Genomic DNA, 24,595 nt, shown 5'->3' with positions numbered 1-24,595 from the left:
TACACTTCTTTTTGATACTATTCTTTCAAATTGCTGTAAAAGCCCCAATGAAAAGAAAGTCTTATGTTAGAAAAATCTTTATCCTTTTGGTCTTGTGAAAATATTCTTTTTTTACTGTTTGTTTTTGTTCCAGAACTAAAGTTTTTTTCCTAAACCATATATGTATCTATAGTGTATGTATGTATGTATGTATGCATGTATGTATGTATGTATGTATGTATGTTTTGAAACAGGTTCTTGCTCTGTTGCCCAGGCTGGAGTGCAGTGGTGTGATCACAACTCACTGCAGCCTCAATCACCTGGGCTCAAGAGGTGCACCCCCCTCAGCCTTCTGAGTGGCTGGGACTACAGGCATGCACCACCATGTCTGGCTTATTTATTTTATTTTATTTTTTGTAAAGGTAGGAGTCTCACTATGTTGGCCAGGCTGATCTTGAACTCCTGGGCTCAAGTGATCCTCCTGCCACGACCTCCCAAAGTGTTGGGATTACAGGTGTGAACCACTAAGTCTGGCCTAAACTTTAAATATATATATATTTATATATATATATATATTTTTTACAAGTGACTTTCAGAGAAAAAAATAGCTGAGTACAATAGACTGTTTCACCTGGTGTTTCAATATTTAAAGTTTCCCGCCTTTCCTCTAGGCCAGATTATTACCTACATATTTTATGAATTTTTTGGAATTACTACATAACTGTCAGAGATGTATGGCTTGAATTACTATAACATATATCAGAGTGTCTGCTGAAGACATGCATACATTTAAAACAGTTATAAAAATAACACCAATATTAGCTTAACTTTTTCTTATTCTTGTCCCAAATCGTATTCTCATCTTTCCCTTACTTGAGGTAAACTTAATTTTACCATGTCACAAATTGGGTTTCTCATGAAACAGTCTCTGAGACTCTGAGATTTGTGTGTGGAAGTTTTTTTGGTGGGTGTTTTGGGAGACATACCTGTGAATGGTGAGGGAAGAATAATAGGGTTAAAGGAAAAGTTGAACTATGATTCAGTCACAATAGACATTTCAACTGATCTTACCTAGAGTCCTGAAACTGGGATGCCTGTGAAAAATTGTCTGTCTTAAAGCAAGGAGGCCAAGGCTATACCCCCACATTGGTTAGTCACTGGATGCAGACCTTCCCCATGGAGGAGAGAGAGCCCTAGGCAGGACAGCTTTCTTTGGCAGGTTTCTACTTGTGGCAAACATACTGCTCTAAACATCCATGTACAGGTTTTTGTGTGAACATAAGTTTTCATTTCTCTAGGATGAATACCCTAAAAATAGCTGAGTAAAACAGATGGATGTGGGATTGTTGGATCATATGGTAAGCGTAGGTTTAATTTGATAAGAAACTGCCAGGCTGTTTTCCAAAGTGGCTGTACCATACTGCATTCCTATCAGGAATGTATGAGAGTGCCAGTTGCTCTGTGTCCTTGTCAGCACTTGGTATTGTTTTTTGTTTTTTTTTTAGCCATTCTAGTAAGTGCATAATGGTATATCATTGTGGTTTTTAATTGTGTTTCCATAATGCCTAATGATATCATATTTCTTTTCATGTGTTTATTAGACATTCATTTTTGTCTTCATATCTTTTTCCCATTTTAAAAATGAAGTTGATTGTTTTCTTATTGCTGAGTTTTGTGAGTTTTTAAAGTGTATTCTGGAAACAAATCCTTTATCAGGTATGAGATTTACAAATATTTTTTCTCCAATCTATGATTTGTCTTCTCATTCTCTTTATGATTTTCTTCATAGAACAATATATTTTCATTTTGATGAAGTCCAATTTATTAATTATTCTTTTATAACGGATTGATCACTTGGTGTCTTATCAAAAGACTCTTTGATTAACCCAAGGTCATGAAGATGTTTATCTACATTTCTTTTCTGAGTTTCATATTTTTCTATTTTACACTTAAGTCTCTGACACATTTTGAGCTAACATTTGTGTGTGGTATTAGGTTAAGGCTGAAGTTCAATTTTTTGCATATGATATGCAGTTGTTCTAAGTATCGTTTGTTGAAAAGATCACCCTTTCTCCATTGAATTTCCTTTGCACCTTTATTAAAAATCAACCAACCATAATTATGTGGATGTATTTGTGAACTTTTTGTAATGTTGCATTGATCTATGTGTCTGTCCTTTCATCTTTTACCAGTCTTGATTGATATAGTTTTATCATACATTTTACTGTTGGGTAATGTTGAGTTATCCAGCTTGGTTCATTCTTTTTCAAAATTGTTTTAACTGTTGTAGTTCCTTTACTTTTCCATACAAATTTTAGAACAGGCTTATCTATATCTGCAAAATATCTCTCTGGGATTTTAATTGCTATTGTGTTAAATCTAGATTACTTTGGGGAAAATTGACATCTTATTTATGTTGAATATTCTAATCTATGGAAATGGAGTGCCTTTCTATTTACTTAGGCCTTCTTTCTGAGTATTTCATAGTTTTCAGCGTATAGATCTGTGTATGTTTTATTTTTTAGGGGGCGATTGTAAATGGTACTTTTTAAAAATTTCAGTTTTCAGTTGTTCATTGCTAGTATATAGAAAAATGATTGATTTTTGTATGTTGACCTTGTATTCTGTGATTTTGTGAATGTACTTGTTGCTTTAAGAGCATTTGGTAGATTCCTCAGTAGCAGTCCCCAACTGTTTTGGTACCAGGGAGTGGTTTCCTGGAAGACAATTTTTTCATGGATGGGGGTCGGGGGATGGTTTCTGGATGAAACTGTTCTATCTCAGATCATTAGGCATTAGTTAGATTTTCATAAGGAGCTTGCAACCCAGATCCCTGGTGTGCGCAGTTCACAATAGGGTTCCTGCTCCTATGAGAATCTAATGCCACCGCAGATCTGACAGGAGGCAGAGCTCAGGCAGTAATTTTCCCTTGCAGATGCTCACCTCCTGCTATAGAGCCCAGTTCTTAACAGGCCATGGATGGTACCAGTTAGTGGCCCTGGGGGTTGGGGTCCCTTGTTCCTTGTGATTTTCCATGTAGATACACATGTTATCTTGAATAGGGATAGTTTTATTTCTTGTTTTCTAATTTAAAAGTCTTTTATTTCTTTATCTTATCTTATTGTGCCTGTTAAGACTTCCAGAACAATATTGAATAGAAGTGGTGAGACTGGATATTCTTGCTTATTTCTCAGTCATACGAGGAAAGCTTTTGGTCATTCACCATTAGGTATGGTGTTAGGTTTTTTGTATATGCTCCCTATCAGATTGAAGAAGATCCATTCTCTTCTTAGTTTGCTAAGGGTTTTTTTTTTTAATAATTAAAATATCATGAATGAATGTTGAATTTTCTCACATGCTTTTTCTTTATCTGCTGATATGATCATGTGGCTTTTTTTTGTTTAGTCTGTAATATGGTGATTTACACTGAATATTTCTCAAATATAAATTAGCCTTTCATTTCTGGGATAAACCCCACTAAGTTGTGATGTGTTTTTTAAAATATATTGATAAAATTTGATTTGTTAAAATTTTGTTGAGTAATTTTTACATCTATATTAATGAGGGATATTGATCTGTAGCTTTCTTTTCTTGTATTGTCTTTGGTTTAGGGGTCAGGGTAGTGATGTCTTCATAAAATGAGCTGGAAAACATTCTTTTTTCTGGAAAAGATTGTGTGGAACTAGTATTAATTTTTTCTTAAATATTTGGTAGACTTCACATGTGAAACCCTCTGGTTCTAGAGTTTGTTTTATTAGAAATATTTTAGCTATGGATTTAATTTATTTAATAAATATAAGACCCCTCAGTTATCTATTTATATTTTGAGTGAGTTTTGATAGTTAATGTCTTTGAAAGAATTGGTCCATTTCATCTAGGCTGTCAAATTTATTATATGAATAGAGTTTTCTTTTTGTAGCATTCCTTCATTATTCTTTAATGTCTGTGGGTTTTGAAGCGTTATCCCCTGCTTCATTCCTGGTGTTTGTAATTTGTGCCTTCTGTCTTTCTTAATCAACCTAGCCAGTTTTATGTATGTTTTAATATTTCTGAAGAAACAGCTTTTGGTTTCATTGATTTTTCTCTTTTGTTATTCTCTTCTCAATGTAATTGATCTTTCTCTCTTTGTTATTTCTTTCCTTTTTTTGAGTTCATTTACTCTTCATTTCTAGTTTCTTATGATGGAAGCTTAAAGCATTAATTTGAGACCTTTCTTATTTTCTGATCTACACATTTAATACCATAAATTTCCCTTTAAGCACTGTTTTAACTATATCCCACAAATTTTGATATGTTGTATTTTTATTTTTCATTCAGTTCAAAGTATTTTTGAATTTCCCTTGAGTCTTTTTCTTGGATTATTTAATTGTGCATTATTTCATTTCCAAGTATCTGGAGGAAATGATTTATTTCTCTAATTGTCTTCTAGTTTAATTCTATTATGGCCATGGCAGATAGTTTGGATAAGTTTAATTCTTTAAAATTTAAGAATGTGGTCCAATTTACTGAATATTCCAAAGGCATTTGAAATGAATGTGTATTCTATTTTGTTGGATGGAGTAGTCTATAGATGTCAATTAGGTCAAGTTAGTTGATAATATTCAAACTTCCTATATTTTTGCTGCATTTCTGTCTGCTTATTCTATTAATTACTGATAGAGGTATGTTGAAGTCACCAACTATAATTGTGGGTTTTTCTGTATGTCTTTTTCATTTTATTAAGCTTTTGCTTCATGTGCTTTACAGCTGTATTGTTAGGTGCATGGATATTTAAAATTGTTACACCTTCTTAGTGAATTGAGTCTTTTATAATTATGTAAATTCCCTCATTGTCAGTGGTGATTTTCCTTATTCTGAATTTGTCCAATATTAATACATCTACTCCAGCATTTCTTTTATTAGCATTTTCCTAGTATATGCTATTTCATTCTGTTGTTTTTAGCCTTTTTTTATTTTTGTTTTTTTTTTACCATTATGTGAAATGGATTTCTTTTAGACAGCTCATAGTTGAATTTTTCTTTTTCAAATCTTATCTGATAATCGCTCTCTTATTTAATTGGTATGTTCAGACCACAGACATTTAATGTACTTATTTGTGTGGTTGGATTTAAGGCTACTATTTTATTAGTTTTCTGTCCATTCATTTTGTTTTTCATACCTTTGTTTTTCATTTCTTGCCTTCTTTTGATTGGCTTGAACATTTAGAATTCCATTCTCATTTATCTACAGTGTTTGTTTTAGTATATCTCTTAGTGTAGTTTTTCTTCTAGTGGTTATCCTAGGGCTTACAATATACATATCAAACTTTACACAAGCTACTTAGAATTAATATTTTACCACTTTAGGTAAAGTGAAGAGACCTTAGGACAGTTTATACTTCCCCATTTTTGATGTAGTTGTTATATGTATCACATCAACCTATTTTGAAATAGCATTATAATTTTTGATTTCAGCAATCATGCATATTATAACAAACTTAAGAGGCAAATAATACTCTAATTTTATTTACCTGGATATTTACAATTTCTATTGCTCTTTCCTTGTTAGTGACCTTCCAAGTTTCCTTCTATTATTGCTTTCCTTCTCCTTGTAAACCTTTATTTGGCATTTCTTTGAAAGCACATCTCCTGGTGACATATTTCCCTTATCTGAGAATGTCCTTATTTTGCCTTCATTCTGATGGATATTTTTGATACAGGATTAGGCTGACAATTCTTTCTTTCAGTACTTGAAAATAATGTTATGCCGCTGTCTTCTGGACTCCATAGTTTCCAATAAGAAAGCTGCAGTAATTGAAATTCTTCCTCCCCCATATGTAATGTAATTTTTCCCTGTTAATTTCAAGATTTTAAAACTTTATCTTTGATTTCTAGGAGTTTCACTATGATATATCTAGGTGTGGTTTTCTTTACATTTATCCGGTTTGTGGTTGCTGAGATTCTTTGGATCTGTAAATTTATGTCTTTCACCAAATTTGGGGAATTTTCAGCCATTATTTATTCAAATACTTTTCTGCACTGTTCCTTTTTTTTCCTCCCCTTCAATAACTCCAGTGTGATAAATGTTAGACCTTTGATATTATCTCACTAGTCTCTGAGGCTCTGTTTATTTTTTGACCATTTTTTCCCTTTCATTGTTCAGACTGAATAATTTCTACTAATCTGTCTTCATGTTCATTGACTTTCTTCTTTCATTGGCCATTGAGTCAAGTCCCTCTGGTGAATTTAAAATTTTTTTTATTGTATATTTCTAAGTTTTTATTCTGTAGCTTCTATTTCTTTGCTGAGACTGTAATTCCATTTGTTTCTAGATTATTTGCCCTTACTTCTTGTGGCATGGTTATACTAGCTGTCATAACTTTTTTTGTTTGATAATTCCACATTTGGATCATCTTAATGTTGATGTCTATTGATTGCCCTTCCCTTTCAGTTGTTTAGATTTCTTAGTGATTCTTTATGTCAAGTAATTTTGAATTGTGTGTTAGATATTTTGAATATTGTGTTATGAGTTTTGGGCTCTATTAAATCCTTTTGGAGATGGGCTTTATTTTTTTAAAAGCAAGAAATCAACCTTGGATTTACATTGTAAGTTCTGACCTGGTCTAGTTGGGCTTGGTTCCAATGTCAGTTCAGTTTTCACAGACTTTGCTGTGTTATTCTGGTTTTCATAGCTTATGTGCTCATGTTCTTCCATATGTGGTGTATACTATAGTTCGGGTCTCAGAGCTTTTGCTGTCTGAGTCTGATAGACTTTACACATATTCAGGTTGAGGATAGCTCAGGGCTTCATACAGAGATTTAAAGAATCTCTTTCAGCTTCCTCCTTTCCAGATCTTTCCTCACTCATTGGTTGCCAGTTAATTTATTCACATTTCTATATGGCTATAGTGTGAATGTGTGTGGGGGAGTCCATGTTAACTCAGACTGCCATGTTACTAAAACCAGAAGTTTGCATATTTATTAAATAATTAATTACATTTATATATATATATATATTACAACAAAATGATGTAACTTTCATTGTGATATTTACACACTTTTACAAAAAGTTCATGTAGCGGATAATGTCAATGCCCCACTATTATTTTCTTAAATCCCTTAATCATTTTTGTTTATTTTGACTCCCAGAAGTTTTCATTCCTGACAGCTAGCATCTGCATTGCTCTATGAGAAAGTTGAGTGTAGGCTATGGCTGTGAGTTTGTTTCTGGATGCCTGAAGTTGGAATTTATATGCTCTGGAGATAGCCCTGATACCAATACCTGATAGGGACAGGAGTGTAATATTCAAGCTTCCTTACCCCTCATCTTTGCAACCCTTAGACATAACCCAAACTGTTGAATTTCACTGTAGAATTGAGCTAAATTTAGCTCCTGTGAGAACTTGCCAGATATTGGCATCCTTGCTTCTTTTTTTTTTTTTCTTTACTGCCCACTTCTCCATTCCTTTACTGGTTTTTCCTTGGAAAACTTCTTAATAAATAACTTTCACATCGATTCTTGTCCCAGGATCTGCTTCTGGAAACCCCACAGTGATGGGTAGAATTCTAAGATGGCCTTCAACATTCGCTGGCATATGCACCTATAGAATTCCCTCCTCTCGAGCATTGGTGAGGACCTGTTAATATGATGAGCCAGTGACTCCCTTCATTAGGTTATATTAGACAGCAAACGTGATGGGATAATCACTCCCTTGATTATATAGGACTCAGTTTTAGCAGATTATTCTACTGGCCTTAAAGAAGTAAACTGTCATGTGTGAGGTGGCCACAGGGCAAGGAACTGCAGGGCCTCTAGGAGCTAAGATTGGCTTTCAGTTGATAGCCAGAAAGAAACTGGGGACCTCAGCCCTATGACAGCAAGGAACTAAATTCTGCCAATAACGATGTGAACTCCAGAAAGGCATACAGCCTGGGTGACACCTAGATTGTACCAGCCTTGTGAGATTTGAGCAGAGGACCTAGTTAAGCCACGCCTGGACTCCTGCCCATAGAAACTGGAGATTAATAAATGTAGATGGTTTTAAGAAGCTAATTGTGTGGTATTTTGTTATGCAGTAATACAAATTAATATAACAATCTAAGGCAGTTAGTTATTCCAATATTTCTATTTTCTCACTAATTTTATCAATGTTATAATATTGAGTGTATTTATGATGATGATTCTGAAACAGCTCCCGAATTATCCAAGACCATTATGGGTTCATTTATTCAGTCATAATTTGTTGAATGGTTGGCATATATAAGGCACTTTTTTAGGTTCTGAGGGGATATCAAGATGAATATTTTTTCCTGCCTTAAAGGAACCGATATTGTAGAGAGTAGGGGAAAATGCACTGTACATGGATAACAACTATATTATAAATTATATCGTAAATGTGCTATAAGGAAGGCATAAAGAAGATGCTATGAGACCATATAAAGCCCTGCTGGAATTAAATTTAATACATGGAATATGTCCACCTGAGTGTTGAATTCACAGCTGAAGTTCAAAAAACAATAGCAGTGTGGTCTTGTGGATACAGTAGTGATTCGGCAGTCAGATAGACCTAGGTTTAAATCTATCCTCTTTATATCATTTCCACTCAATTTCCACATTGGTAAAGTTTTTTCCAAACTTTGAACAAAGCAAATTATATGATTTTCACTCAATTCCCACACTGGTAAAGTCTTTTTACAAACTTTGTAGCTTTATGATCAGGAGCAAACTATGTATGGCATGCCCCACAAACGATTGTGGTATAACAGAGGAATGCCTTCCTCTGTTAATTTCTCACTAGTGACAGAGTGCTGTTCTTATTCATAATAGAAGCTCTCAATATAAAGATACCAACCCAGGCATGGTGGCATGTGCTTGTAGTCCCAGTTACTCAGGAGATAGAGGCAGGAGAATCACTTGAGCCCAGGAGTTCGAGGCCAGCATGGGCAACATAGTGAGACCCTGTCTCTAAAAGTTAAAATAAAATACACAAAGCAACATGCATTTTTCAGTTGTCTTTATTGGAAATATGTGTTCACGGGGAAACTCTGAATGTCTTTTCTTGGGAACAATGCTCCCTGGAGAGCAGCCAAGGGGAATTAGAGTGGTCTGAAAGCATGGGAATGCTAAGTGGGTGAAAGACTCCTGCAGATTCTATAGATGGGAATGTTGTCTGAATATTTAAAAATTATTTTCAGGCTCTTTAAAAATTTAATTTAAACATATAGTCTACTTCAGGTATCCCTTTGGATTGGAAGTAGAAGTTTGCTTTGAGCCTTTCATTTTGGTGCTCAGTAAATGCTAATTTCCTGGTTGGACACTGGAGTGTCAGATGGTTCATCTCAAAATGTTTATGAGAAGACCACATTTTCCCTTGACAACAAGAGCATAGGAATGGATAATATGTTAAATAGCTCCTAGAGTATATGAATGGTGTGTTTTTGTTACCCCAGAGCACGTGCTTTATCTCTTGCACACTGTAAGACAGATATAGGTGTAATTATCATTTTAACTAGCCAGTTAGCTATTCTGTAGGACTATGATTATGCAGAGTGTAGAGAAAACTTTATTTATGAACTTATTCTCAAGAAAAAAACAAAAGCAAAAAGCTAAGCCAGCACATCGTCTAATTCTCAATGTAAAATAATGCAGAAGTGCGGAAGATGAACATCTGATTTGTCACATCTGATACACTAATGTTTTATCCAAAAGGAAGAACACATTGTAACTTGCTCAGTCATCTGCATAAACACCACCTGGCCCTTTACAGGCACCTACTCAAGTAACAAGAGTCAACGAATGGCAGCTCTGCTCATAGCCTTTTCACTGGTAGAAACAGAAAAATCTCTTTTCTTTTCACTGGTATATATAGAAAAATATCTTTGTTTTTTAAAAAACAAAACATTTATGTATCAAAGTAGCAGCATCTCATACATTTTTTTTCAACAGCATAAGATCTGGGTGATAAAATGAAGCCAATGGAATCTTCTACATTAGGGAATATATGGTCACAAATTCCTTATATTTTGAACAGCTAAAAAATTCCTTATCCTTTAAAAAGTGGGTATATCCAACTAGACCCCATGCAATAAGGTATTTATTGGAACATGAAGTCACTTGCCCCCCAGGTATATCACTTAGTAAATCTTGCATTGGAAATAGCTATAGTTTTTAGCGCAAAATATTTTTCCAGGGATGAGAGGACTTTTCCTCCTCTGAAGTGACACATTCTGGTTGTATGCCTCAGTGAGCATACCTTTGTGCTACATTACACACATAGAGATAGCATCACACTTTCCAGTTGTACTAATATAAAAAGGAGGAACCTGGATCACTAAAGTATATGTATATGGTACTAGTCTTGCATGTTTTCAAGGAAAGTTAGTGGGAGGGTGAATGAGACTGACATGCTGTCTTAAAGAAAGATTTAGGAAAAACAAATCTCACTTGTCTTTACATTTTAGATCCAAGTTGGCTAACTAGAAGGTGTCAACTACCTTGTTTCCTCCACTGTAAAAACCCTGCCAAAGTCTTAGCGTATTTCTGCAGACAGGAGACAATTGAACAAATTAGTCTTCCGGGGTGTACCAGTTTTTAATTTTTTTTTTTAAAGAGGGGAAAGTGTCAGAGAGCCATTGAGCTCTGCCCTTAGCTCACTATTTTATTGACAACCTGTGGGACATGCTTAGTTTCTAAAACTTTCTACCTTTAAGTAAAACTTCCAGCCATCTATCATGCTAAAATTCTTCCTGGAGCCATTTGAAAAGTGACAGTCTGCAGCTCTTTTATATTTGGTTTCTGGATCTCATGTCTTGAATTAATGCTTTCATTTAAAACATTTAAAAAATACTGCATAATAGATGGACATATTTTGGGGTTACATGTGGTAATTTGATACATTCATATACTGTGTGAAGATCAAATGACAGCAACTGAGATTTCCACATTAGTAGAATTTAATGCATGTATTTGGTGGTGAAAATGACTGGACTTTCCTTGTTTTTGGATTTAATGCATTATGATATTATGATGTTTAATTGTCCAGGACATGTATGTCAACCCAAGGCAAATGTTTAATCTTGTTTACACTGTTCAAATGCCTCTAACATTAGTCTCTGTTATAGACTCCTATTTTAATTGTATTATCTGTTTCATGTTGGAAAAGTATGCCTGGATTAGAAAGGGAGAAGGATCTTGCTCATTTCCCAGTTCCCAGTGCAGCCTGGAAAGTAATTTTATTCATTTATTCTACTAATAAATTTAAAGTTCCTACTGTATGCCAGTGTTGGGGAGAGACTAACGAAAGGTAGACATGGTACCTGCCTTCATGCAGCTTATAGTCTAATACGTTTGAATGAATATTTATGATTCTAGAAATCATTGACAAGGTTTCTACTTCAGGATTAGAAAGATGATGTCATTTCAGCAATTAACATGAAATTACATGTTTTGAGTAGAGTACTTAGTATACACTAAATATTTTGTTACATGTCATTTCATTTAATCTGCACTACAAACCCAGCAGGTAATGTTAGTCTAATTTTACAGGTAAGGAAATTGACACACAGACAGGTCTCATAAGTTTCCCCCCGTTAGATAGTTACCCAGGTCTATCTGATTGAAAAGCCAGCTTGCTGAGGGTTTGCATTTGCATCATCAACCTACCTTTGCAAAGTGAATTTAAACTTACGTAATTTAGATGAATAAATTAGAAGTATTATTTTTTTATCCTAACCAAAGTTGGAAACTCAAATATCTACAGAGATAACAGGCATAATATAGTGAAGCAGGAGAGTAATAATAGGGAGTGGTCAGGAGTGCAGTAAATTCAAGCTTACATGCTTTGTTTAAATATTCCAGGTGATTTCTACTATGTGTGAATGATGAATGAAGGCCCCGGGATGCGATGTTTTTAGACCATATAGCACATTTGTGCAAATTAGAAAAGTCACTCTTTCCCCTTAGTGATTATAGTCCAGGCTTGGCAAATGAGTGTGCAGGCCTTGTGAACATGGCTCAGCAAAGGAGCGTGGGTGGGGAACCAGCCCCACTTACCCCCTTCAGCTGATGCTTTGTGCAAGGCACAGCATGAGACACTGAACATCTGTTTTTTTTGTTTTGGTTTGTTTTGAGACAGGGTCTGGCTCTGCTACCCCGGCTGGAGTGCAGCGGCACGATCATGGCTCACTGCAGACTCAACCTCCTGGGTTCAAGTGATCCTTTCCACCTCAGCTTCCCAACGAACTGGAACCACAGGAGCATGCCACCACACCTGGCTAATTCTTGTATTTTTTAGAGATGGGGTTTTGCCATGTTGCCTAGGCTGGTCTCGAACTCTTGGGCTCCAGGGATCCTCCCACCTTGGCCTCCCAAAGTGCTGGGATTACAGGCGTATGCCACTGAGCTTGGCCTGACATCTGGATTTTTAAAGTGAAATTTCTTGATTTTTAAAATTAAAAATTTAAAAATCACTGCGTGGGTCAAATAAAACTCATTTATGTTTTGGATTTGCCCTGCTGGCCACCATTTGAAACTTCTGAATTACAAGCTAAGCCTGTGAGGTGAGAAGTAGCAGTTTTTATTTGTTTAGCCGTCAGGCTCCTCAAGTATCTGGAGACAAAAATGTTTTCAATTTCAATCTCAAAATTAAGAAGCATTTTTAGTATCTACATTTTAAAGGCTAATTTGAAGCAAAATTATTCCATCTCTAAGAGTCTAGCTGTACTAGTCATGAAAAATTCTCAGGTGGTTTGTTATTCAGTAACTACCTATGTTTAACATGGATACTTGGGAGTTAAAAATGCATCAAGGTTAATTGCAAAAAGGAAGTAGAACTTGCGTAAATCTCAAATTATTTGAATTTTTCTTTTGATTGTAGATTGAGCATCAGTTGTGTCCTATGATTGGTGTTAACATAATATCTGATGGTACTAATATAGTGAGCTAAGAATAACACCAAAGAACATCCATATTATCTCACCCACAGGAGAATTTGCCTTTTGGTCGTGAATTTAGGTTGTCTCAAAATAATTTTGCCAGAGTCTAAGGTAATAATTGCACGTTTTAAGTTTTCGGTCCATTAAGTTTTGTCTTTGTAATGACTAATTCTTTGTATGCTATCTTACTTAAGCAAACCAAACCAAACCAAACCAAACCAAACCATCACTACTTGTGTCAAGGGAATCATGAAAGATATGTATTGCAATGAAAAGGGATAGGTACCAAAGGTATATACCTCACAACCCTGTGTCTCCTACGCTGGTACTTCAGGGAAATCTTGTCTTGAGAAATGATAGGAAGCTGCCCAGAGACAGAGAACAAATTGATACTTTTTTGCAGAGGTGGGAAGAAAATACCAGGTCTGTATGAGTGATTACTAATGACCTCTTTTGATGAAATGCAGTTCTTTCCAAGGACTAGAGTTGTTTGGAACTTAAGTAGTCATTACTTTTGTGAAATTCCATGAGCATGAAGTTCTTTTTCATCTTCAGGGAAGGGAGAGCATAGGTCATTGAGAACACCATATTTTATTTTTTCCTTCTCACCTACAAATGAAACTTGTATAACTCTGTGTGCCTAAGATCTTAAACCCAAACTGCAAAACTGCAAGAATTTAAGCTACACACTTATGAAATTGCCACAAGCATAGTTTGTTGTCTAGAGTCTAAAGCATTCTGAAAAAGAGTATTTTTTTTTTGTTATGAGGGAAGCCTAGAACAAATTTTGATTAGGTTCCCAAAGCCGGGCACTGAAATGAGAAAGTTACACTAGGAAATAAGTTGGAGAATCAAAGTAAGTGCATAGTTATTGCTATTTTTGCCTTTAATATTCAGCTTTTTAATTATTAAGACATATATTTTTCCTGCCTATATATATTCATACACACATATTTATTTTTGGTATACATATACACACATATTTATCTCTGTGTGTGTATATACATATTTATACCACTTTATATATATATATGTGTGTATATATATATATATATACACTCACAGACACACCTATTCCACTGGCACATACATATTATATTTATTTTTGTGTGTGTGTATATACACACACAGAGATACATATATATATACACACACAGGCATACACATACACACACACATATACACACAAATAAATATATATGTATGTACCAGTGGAAAGGTATATATATATACACATATATATATAAAATAGTGGTATAAATATATATATATATAAGCAGAGATAAATATATGTGTGTGTATGTATGTATACCAAAAATAAATATATATGTATGAATATATAGGCAAAAAAATATATGTCCTAATAATTAAAAAGTTGAATATTAAAGGCAAAAATAGCATATCGTGTATATATATATACATAATAGCATGTTGTGTATAAATATATATATATTTATCTGTGTGTGTGTGTATATATATATATATACACACACATATATATATACACACATATATATATACACACACACACATACACACAAACATTTCCTAAAGGCTAATTTGAAGAGAAATTACTCTGTCTCTAAGAGTCTAGCTGTACTAGTCATGAAAAATCATGTGCATGTGTGTCAAATATGTATACACCACAAATAAATATATATGTATGTGCTAGTGGAATAGGCCCGTTGGAATATTCAGCTTTAGCTTTTCCTTTAATATGGTGTTTTGACTAAAATGTTAGAACAGGAAGGATTCTTGGTGACACATTTTGTTTTTAAACTGTGATCCTTGGAACCCCAAGTGGCTTTGGACATGTTTCAAAGTTCCTATAAGAATTTTATTTAAAAATTATGTAATCAGTTCTCAATTATCTAGGCTATCATAGTCTGCAAAGGGAGAGGTTGTTAATCAGGGCTTCACAACTCCAGTTATATTTTAGCCAGACAGCTTCCATTTTATTCAATTATATTCATTTATTTATTAAGTAAATACTTATCTAGCACCTACAATATGGCCAGGCACTATTTTAGGTGCTGAGAATAAAGTGGTTGAAAAAGGTAGACAGAGTCCATTGTCTCATAGAGCTTGTATTCTGGGATGGGATGGAATAAGGGAGAAGAACAGATTTCTGATTAGCATGCTTGAGGAATACTAGGAAGGCCAATGATTCTGGACTACGTGAACAAGGAGGGAGTTAGGAGAATGGGCCAGAGGGATATCAAGTCAAGAACATATAAGGCCTTAAAGGCAAAATAAGAAGTTTGGACTTTAGTATAAGTGTAATAAGAGATGTAAGGCAAAATAAGGAGTTTGGATTTTAGTATAAGTGTAATAATAAGAGATGTAACCTGATTTGTGATTTAAATGGATCGTCCTGCTTTTGTGTGGCAAACAGCCTATGGTATGGCCAGAATGGAAGCAGCAAAGCCTGTTGGGAGATTTAAGTAGATTTACACTTCTAAGCATGATGTAGTAGGTTGCATTAGGGCAATGCTTCTGCTGAAAACAATTAGAAAAAGCTAGATAAATTCCAAAACGTATAATTTTAAAGGTACAAAGAGCTATGGGAGCTATGAGGACAAGACAAACTACAATTTCAGAGAGGGTCATGGATGATTCGGAGCTATTTTCTCCCTTGAGAGCATTTGATATTCTGGGCATGGGCTAAGGATTAAAACTTGGCCCAGGCTGAGGACTACTTATTGGGAAAATAAAAACTTCAGTGGTTATGTGAAGCTAGAGTGACAAAATTTGAGACTAGAGGGATCTCAAATACATGGCCAGGTTTTCCCACAAGACATCTGCTGAACTCTGAACCAAGATAGGAGATTAAAGAGCTAGGTTGAAAGCTTCTGAAAGGTAGAGTGAAATATCACATAGTCTTGTGATGCTTAGGAAACAAAGGCTGCTCTGGGGAGCAGACCCCAAAATAAAACATGCGAGGATAATAAAATCCCTAGAAAGAGTGGTGGATTGATCTGGAGATACTTTTCATCTGGGATACTTAGTAAATCTGGGTGCCTCTTGAGGTTGAAAATCTAGGCTAGGCTTGACCTGTAGCAGAGTAGCAGAAGGCCTTTCTTGAGAAGCAGAGAAACCAACAGGATTTGACTTCTTTTTTTTTTTTTTTTTTGGACTGAAGTAACAAAATTGCAGACTTGAGGAGTGTCAGACACATAGATGGTTCCTTGATGACATTTGTCACATTTGAAGCTGTGTGGGTCAGGAAGCTAAAGAACTAAGTGATAAACTTCTGAAGGGCAGAACTGAATCTCCTTTAGTCATTCAGATGTGGGAAATCAAAATCCTACCAAGCTTACAATGAAAAACCCTGGGGAGCCATGACCTATGAACGGGGCCAAGCAGAACTACATTGAGTTTTACCAAAACTTCTTCACAGCTGCAACTCAGCACAATTCCTGATTGGCTTGAGATGATTAATCCCCCTAATAGCTGTCCTTGCTATTAGCAGAAGGAGGAAAGCTTTTCTGATGGAAGATAGTATCATCCGGAGGCTCTACATTTTCTTTAGAATTGGAAAATAGGCCAATAGAAAACACCCAAGCAGAAGCACAGAGAGAACAAATAATGGAAAAACAGATAAGAGTAATGTGGACTGTGATGAAAATGATGTGTAACTGAAGTTCTGGAAGGAGAAGAGGAGAGAGTAGAATAGAAATAATATTCAGAGTTAAAAGCTAACCATTTTCCAAAACTGATTGAAAACGTGAATCCATAGGTTCAAGTAGGATAAACACAATGAAAACAATACCCAGCATCTTATATGTAAGACTGCTGAAAACAAATAAGTAGAGAAAGTCTTAACTGGAGCCAGGGAAAGACTTTATTCCAAAACAGCATCAATAAAACTTATATCTGACTTCTCAACTAAACAATAGAAGTCAGAAGGCAATGAAATGGCATCTTTCACATGCTGAAAGAAAATAATTGCCAAGCTGGGATTTTATACCTGGTGAAAATATACTTGAAAAATTAAGGCGAAATAAAGACAATTTCAGACATATAAAAATGGAGAAAATTTGTTGCCACGTCCTGTACTAAAAATAATAATAATAAGCAATAGCAAAAGGAGCTCTTCAGAGAGAAGCATGTAAATTCAAGAGGAAATGAAAAATATCAGAAAGGGAAAATATCTGGGTAAATACAAACGGATATTGATTGTATAGAACAATAATCATAATGTCTTTTGGAGTCTTAAATTGATATATAATCAAAATGCATGACAAAAATAATGCAAAAAGTAAAAAAAGGATTAAATAGGAGTAAGGTGCTATAAGGTTCTAGCAGTATTGGAAAGTGATATAAGTAATAATTCATACTAGAATGTGATAATTCAAGTATATACGATGTAATCTAAGTAATCTATATTCCTATACCATGAAATACAATGAAAATGATAGTATAACAAATTAACATAGGAAAATATTTTAAAATGTACCAGATTAATCCAAAACAAGAAAGGAAATAGAATATGAAACGGAATGTAAAATGTAAAAGAAATTATAAAGTCATAGTTATAAGCCCACTATATCTGCAATTGTATTACAAGTAAATGAACTAAATATTCCATATAAAAGACTGACATTTAAGACTGGATAAGAATAGAAACCCCAACTATATACTGCTTACAAAGAACAAAGGATCCAAATATATAAGGATACAGAAAGGTTAAATGTAAGAGAGGGTAGGAAAAGGTAACTTAAAAAACACTAACCAAAAGAAAGGTATTACAGCTTTATTCATATCGATGTAGATTTTTAAGGGGAGAAGCATTATTAGAGATAAAAGGGCTATTCCGTAATTGTAAAGGCTACAATCCAATAGGAAGGAGGTTATTGCAATAATCCATGCCAGAGATGACAGTGACTTGGACTAGAAAGGTAGGTATGGATGTGAAGGTGACGTGGTGAAATTCTGGGTATATATTGTAGGTGGGTGCCAACGGTACTTGCTTTTGGATTCGGTATGGAATATGAAATAAAAGATAGGTATTAATAGTAATTCCAAGGTTTTTGTCCTGAGGGACTAGATGAATAACAGTACCATTTACTGAAATGGGGAGTTAAAAATGCACCAAGATTAATTGCAAAAAGGAAGTGGAACTTGTGTAAATCTCAAATTATTTTCAATTTTTCTTTTAATTGTAGACTGAACATCAGTTGTGGTCTATGACTTGTGTTAAGATAATATTCGATGATGCTAATACAGTGAGCTAGGAATAACACCAGAGAAAATCCATATTGTCTCACCCATAGGAGAATTTGCCTTTTGGTCATGAATTAAGTTGAGATGTGGGTTTAGGAGAGAAAAAGAAAAATTCTCCTTTGGCTGTGTGGAACGGGATGGAATAAATAGCAGTAATTCAGTTTTGAACATATAGACTGGTGCTGTGGAGAAGAGATTTGGATATACAAATTCCCAATTTAGTTTGACTCCTTAATTTTACAGATGAAGATGTTGAAGCTCTGAAACTTGCTTACAGTCACACAGCAAGTAAATGCCTCAGGTGGAACTAAAATCCAGGTCTTTTGGGGGCTTAGCATAGGGTCTCAAATAATAGCATCTACTGCTTCTAAACTTGCTTTGTTGAACTCTAGAAAATATCTCATATAGAATAACAATAATTTTAAAAATGTATTGTGTGTTGCAGTATTTGACAGATATTGTGCTAAATGCTTAAGATACCTTTTCTCTAAAGTCTTTTTGTTGTTGTTGAGATGGAGTCTTGCTCTGTTGTCCAGGCTGGACTGCAGTGGCACAATATTGGCTCACTGCAACAACCTCTGCCTTCTGGGTTCAAGCGATTCTCCTGCCTCAGCCTCCTGAGTAACTGGGATTACGGGTGCACCAATCCACCTGGCTAATTTTGTATTTTTAGTAGAGACGGGGTTTCACCATGTTGGCCAGGCTGGTCTCAAACTCCTGACCTCAAGAGATCCACCCACCTCGCCCTCCCAAAGTGCTGGGATTACAGGCATGAGCCACCATGACTGGCCCCTTTTCTCTAAAATCTTTATAGCCCTACAAGGCAGATACTATTATCCTCATTTTTACCGATAAGAAATGAGCTTTTGAGGTTAAGCAACTTTCCCAAGGTCAAATCATTGGTCGACCTAGTCAGATAACCAGGATGTTTAACTCCTGCAACTACTATGCTATACATTTACCTGTGTTGTTGAAAATGGACACTCATTTGTGCTGTGTCTCATTCAGTTTCTTTGATTCTTTTGTGGGTTTATAATCAGTTCACACCTTAGACTATTTTATTTTTTGGCCTTTCAATTTTTCCTTTAGATTTTGAATTTGACTGAGGAACCATTTCCATTGAGTTAAATTTAGGGAAATGACTGATACTTATGTAAGGCTCTTCTTCCAGGGTGCATGATAAATGCTTCCTCAGGACACAGTGTTGGCTTCTTCAGTTTCAACAGCTGTGATTACTGTCTTTGGGAACAAAGAAATAATTGGAGATCACTTGTAATAAAAGCCTTCTCTCTTTTTCTAAGAGCCTTCATATTTTTGTTGACCTCTTTGAAAATTAGAGAGAAAATAAAATAAATCCAGCAACCCCCCCACCGCCCCGCAACAAAACAAAACATACAACTCACAGAACTCAACACCTCATCCAAATTCTCCAACCCAAACTAAAACATCCTCTGAAGAAGAAGCCTTTTTTTTTTTTTGTCTTTAATCTAAGGGCAGTGTAAAAGCCTGGGTAGTCTCTAGGACTACTTTAATCAACTTAATGGAGATTGTTGACTTCAGGCTTTGGGCTAGTACAAAGAGGCACTCAGATGTAAGCCAGTGAGAGAATGCTTTCACAGGGCATTGGACTGAAAACAGCACTATGCAATAAGAGGAGCGGTCTAAGAGGAGTCAATGATATGGTTGATTCCGGGTGGATTGATACAGTCTGAGAATGTGTTATGTTACTAAAGGTGTAGTGGCAAAAGCCAGCTGGTCCTTCAATCTAGCATAATTTCCTTTACAATGCACTTGTGAGAAAAAAAGTGCACGGTGATGGACCTTTGTTAGTTCAAAGGTTTTTACCTCTTTATTGTAAAACCCCATTGTGAATTCACAGGGCTTAAAATATGTATTAATGTCCCTTTCATTTTATCATTCTAAAAGAAATCAAAGACAGAGAACTTTTTTCTTCCCAATGAGCTTGTCTTTTTGAAATCATAAAGTGTTTGTGTATATGGTCTCCTAATGTTTCAGTTGAATCTGTGATTTCAGTGGCAGGTAGTGAGACATTGTTATTTCTTAAAGACTTTCAAGAAACTTTTGCAAAAAGACAGACTTGCTTTCTCTTCCTTTTCAATACTTACATTTTAGTTTATTGCACAATGAAACAGAGCAAACTACATTTTTTTTTAAAGATCTGAGAGTGTGAACCTTCTGCCTCCTTTTCAACCAAAGTTGAGGAATTTGTCCTGCTATAATCTCAACCCTTGAGTATTTCTATCCACAACTTTTGCTTCAACAAAACTTCTGACTAAATCAAACAGGTTTTCAGCATAGACATTGTATGCTGTATAGTGTGATGCTAGTGAAAAAATAAAGTTTTTGGCTGTATGACTATAATAATACTCTCATGAGCATTACTAATTGCCATTTACTGTTATTGGCCTGAGGAATTTTTCCTGAAGGCATATATTTTATATTGTGAATTGCTTGCTCACTGGAGTCTCTATGTACTATATTCTTCATCTGACATACAATCCATACTTTAAAATCTATCTTTTATCCATTCAGTACAGTTTAAAGTTTAATTTCAGTGTTTGACAGTTTATAAAAAGAAGAAATGCTCATTTTTTTAAACTGGAAAAGCAGAATAACCTCTAGTAGTACAAAAACATTGGTGACACAACCCTACTTCCCAAAGAAATATTTTGTTCATGATTTTCTGAAATGTGAATCAAAACCCTCATGACAGGTGAATGAAGAGAGAATAATTAAGATATAAGTACAAACAAAAGCAGCATTAACAATTCAGGTAAATAAAATTTGCATACAAAAGAATATCATCAAGGTGATGGAGAATACTTCTGAAAGTACAGGACATTTAGGCAATAGGAAAATGAGTTGAGAGTTGAATGTTTTATATTTCACACAAAGGCTTTATATAATTAACATTTTTTTTCCTGACTCCATTGTTCAAGCAAACATTATTTACCATTATCTCTAATCTTTCCTTGGTTAAATAAATTGGAGTTTTTCCTATATGTTGCAATGTTTTATTATTATAATTTTTTTTCGAGACAGAGTCTCACTCTGTCACCCAGGCTGGAGTGCAGTGGCACGATCTAGGCTCACTGCAACCTCTGCCTCCCAGGTTCAAGCAATTCTTCTGCCTCAGCCTCCTGAGTAGCTGGTACTAAAGGTGCACACCACCACGCCCGGCTAATTTTTGTATTTTTAGTAGAGATGGGATTTCACCATATTGGCCAGGCTGGTCTCGAACTCCTGACCTCATGATCCACCTGCCTCAGCCTCCCAAAGTGCTGGGATTACAGGTGTGAATTACAGCTCCCAGCCTCCTGTAAGCTGCAATTTTAAGGGACAAACCACGCGTAAACTATAAACTGTTCTTCAGCGTTTTTGCAATTTATATGTATTAATCTGAATTGTTTGAAAGCTGTTACTTTCTTACTTGAGCCATTTTTTCCATGTCACATCTCATTAGTAGTGTCCCTCGTGGGCCTTTCCATGTAGGATGAATGCTTCAGTTTTTAAGGCACAATGTAAAACCGTTATTCACTCAAGTTATTTTTAAGATGTGTTAAGAGAGCAGCTTGCATTTGTAAGAATCAAAAGATGCATTGACAAGATTCGTTTTCTTTTCAATGTGAAGCCGTAAGGATTTGTTGTGTTTAAGGAGGAACTTACGATAAGCTAGAGGAGTTATTACCTGCATTGGAATGATAGCTGGCTTGTCTAACTTGCTTCATTTATTCAACAAATATTTAATGAGAGCATGTCATGTACCTGGCACTGTAGCAGGATCTCAGGATAGGAAAATAAAAGAAGTAATATAAAAATATTCATAATCAGTGGAGAGGTACCAAGTGAAATAATGAGGCTTTGGTAGAGAAGGGGGCAAAAGTGTTTCAGAAAGAACAATCACTTAAAGCCAGGAGTCTCAGACCAGCCTGGGCAACAAAGCAAGACCCTGTCTCTACAACAAAACAAAAATATTACCCTGGCACAGTGGTGTGCACCTGTAGTCCCAGCTACTTTGGGAGGTTGTGGTGGGAGGATTGCTTGAGCCCAGAAGTTTGAGGCTACAATGAGCTATGATTGAGCCACTGAACTCCAGTCTGGGAGACAGAGCAAGATCCTGTCTCAAAAATAAAAATAAAGAAAAGAAAAAAAGATAGAGGAAACAATATGAGTTTGGCATGATAAAATTGGGAGCTGCAAGTAATTGGAGTGGTAGGTTTGTGTATTGAAGGGGTGGGGAAAGAAAAAGTGGAGACAGTGGTAGATAAGGCAGGCAGAGGCCACAACTGTGTGATATGCCAAGTAATTTAGACTTTATTCAAAAGAAGACAAATAACTATTGAAGGGTTTCAAGTAGGAGAAAGGTCTGATTAAATTGGGGAATATTGACAGACCGCTCTGGAAACGGTGTGGAATTTAGATTCAAGAGATACTAGATGCAGAGAGTTAGTAAGAAGGATTAGAGTGAGCTGGGAGAGGTGTAAATACTGTGTTAGTTAAGGCAGACTAGATGGTAGGTTGGATACAGATTTGTGAGGAACTTAGGAGATAGAATTGACAGCATTTGGTCTGGTGATTAGAGGTAGGAAGTGAGGGAAAAGGTGGAGTCTTCTATGACTTCCAGGTTTCTGACTCAAGAGACCTGATGAAGGGTGGACAGACTAGGAAACAGAAGAACTGAAACATGTTTAATGGTGGTGGCAGTCATGGTTGAGATAACGAGATTGGAAGCTTAGTTTTGGACTTGTTGAGTTTTAATTTTATGTGTCTCACTATCATGAGATAATTTTAGGTAAGGGATACAGATTTGGGAATATTTTATTTCTAATGGTAGCTAGTGCTTCAGATAAAAATACACTACTTAAAAAACTGTCCTTTTAGTATTTTGTTATTAAGTGGGAAAATACATGCATATGGTAAAAAAATTAGATGTATGCAATAAAACACAGGTCTTTCTCCCATTCCAAGTCCACAATTCCTTTCTCCAGATTTAGGTATTGTTAACAGCTTTCAGAAATGTACTTGACATTTTCTTTCCAAGTACAAGCATATATATTTGTGTACATATGTAGGTGGAAATGTGTTACATACATACATATTTTAAATAGAAATGTTAGTCTATCATATTTATCCTTCTGTACCTTATTTTTTTCACTTTTCAGCATACCCTGGAGATTATGCCATATGAACACATATAGATCTACTTCATTCTTTTTAATGGTTTTATAGTATTCCATTTCACAGAGACCTAGTTTTCTTAAACCAGATTTTTTTTAACGGATGGTTTTTTTTAAAAATATAGTTTTTATGATAAACAATGCTTCAGTGAACATCTTTGCACATGTAGCTTGGGTTGGAGTATTTCTCTTTTTTATTATTGGTGCTGAGCTAGAAACTAATCTGAGAGAATGCACATTGTATTAAAAAAACCGAAAAACTACCCCTCACTCTGATTGGAATCAGACTTGTGTGCCTTACTCTCTATTTACTATAGGGACGCTAAGGTGATGAGGCGACTCTCTCTCTTTTTTTTTTTTTTTCAGATGGGAACCACTCAGACTGTGTCCTCTCTCTCTTACTCTCCCAGAGAAGAGAAGAACGATCATCAATGGCCAATGGCAGTTGCAGCGAAGCCACACCAAGAGCCGGCTTCATGCTCAGGAGAGAACGCTGCACTTCCTGCTCATGGTTTCCGGTGCTCTACAAGTTCACAGAAACTTCTCTAGTAGTGCACTGTAGAAATGATCCCTGAAAATATAGTCTTGACGAGGTGACTCTTAATCTGGATTCTCCCCATGTCAGTCTTCTGCATGTGTACAAGTATGTGTAGGTCTTCTCTTTTGGGCTAGTAGGTTTCCCCCATAGAAAAATTTCTAATGTTCTACCTGGGAATGGGAGGCTGCTGCTAGACTTTGGATTGCTGAACAGGATAAGGGCACAGTGGGCCTTGTTCTTCATTATGTAGACGAGCAGAATACCTGTACTTTGTTGCTTCACTCCTGTCTTCAGCGATGCCAGCGTGCCTGAATCTGGGACCTCTTCGGTTCAACATCATCCAGGAGAAAACTTCTTATCTAGGGTTGAGGGAGCAGTTGCATGGCTCCGTGGAATATGGGAGAAATTCTGGGATTTGAACTGCTCTTTATATCACTGCTTTTCAAATTTTAAGGGGTTTACAGAGCACTTGGGAGTTAAAGTGTAGGCCTGATTCGGTAGGTCTGGATGGGACCTGAAATTCTGCATTTCTAACACACTTTTAAGAGTGCCTATGCTGCTGGCCCACAGGCTTGGCTAACAAAGTTTTAGCTGAACTATCAATCCAACTTTCCTTGAATGCTGATGCTTTCCTAGGGTTCTGGGGACATGAATAAAGTGACATTTCCTTGATTTTTCCCGCTGCAGTCTCAGGCCGTAGGATTTTCTGTTTTGTGAAATGAGTTATAACTTGTTCATATTAA

The 24,595-nt window shown here is 35.6% G+C and overlaps 1 non-coding gene across 1 annotated transcript; it reads right to left on the bottom strand.

Moving 5' to 3' along the window:
* Positions 1 to 23,687: 23,687 nt before the first annotated feature.
* SNORD3G (small nucleolar RNA, C/D box 3G) lies at positions 23,688 to 23,901 on the bottom strand. Its single transcript, NR_145742.1, has one exon. It is a non-coding gene; the product is annotated as a small nucleolar RNA, C/D box 3G (small nucleolar RNA).
* Between the last annotated feature and the right edge of the window lie 694 nt (positions 23,902 to 24,595).

This window comes from Homo sapiens, chromosome 1 (genome assembly GCF_000001405.40).
Source record: "Homo sapiens chromosome 1, GRCh38.p14 Primary Assembly".
NCBI classification, from domain to species: Eukaryota; Metazoa; Chordata; class Mammalia; order Primates; family Hominidae; genus Homo; species Homo sapiens.
The sequence above is the reverse complement of the archived record's forward strand: the minus strand, read 5'-3'. Positions and strand labels throughout refer to the sequence as shown.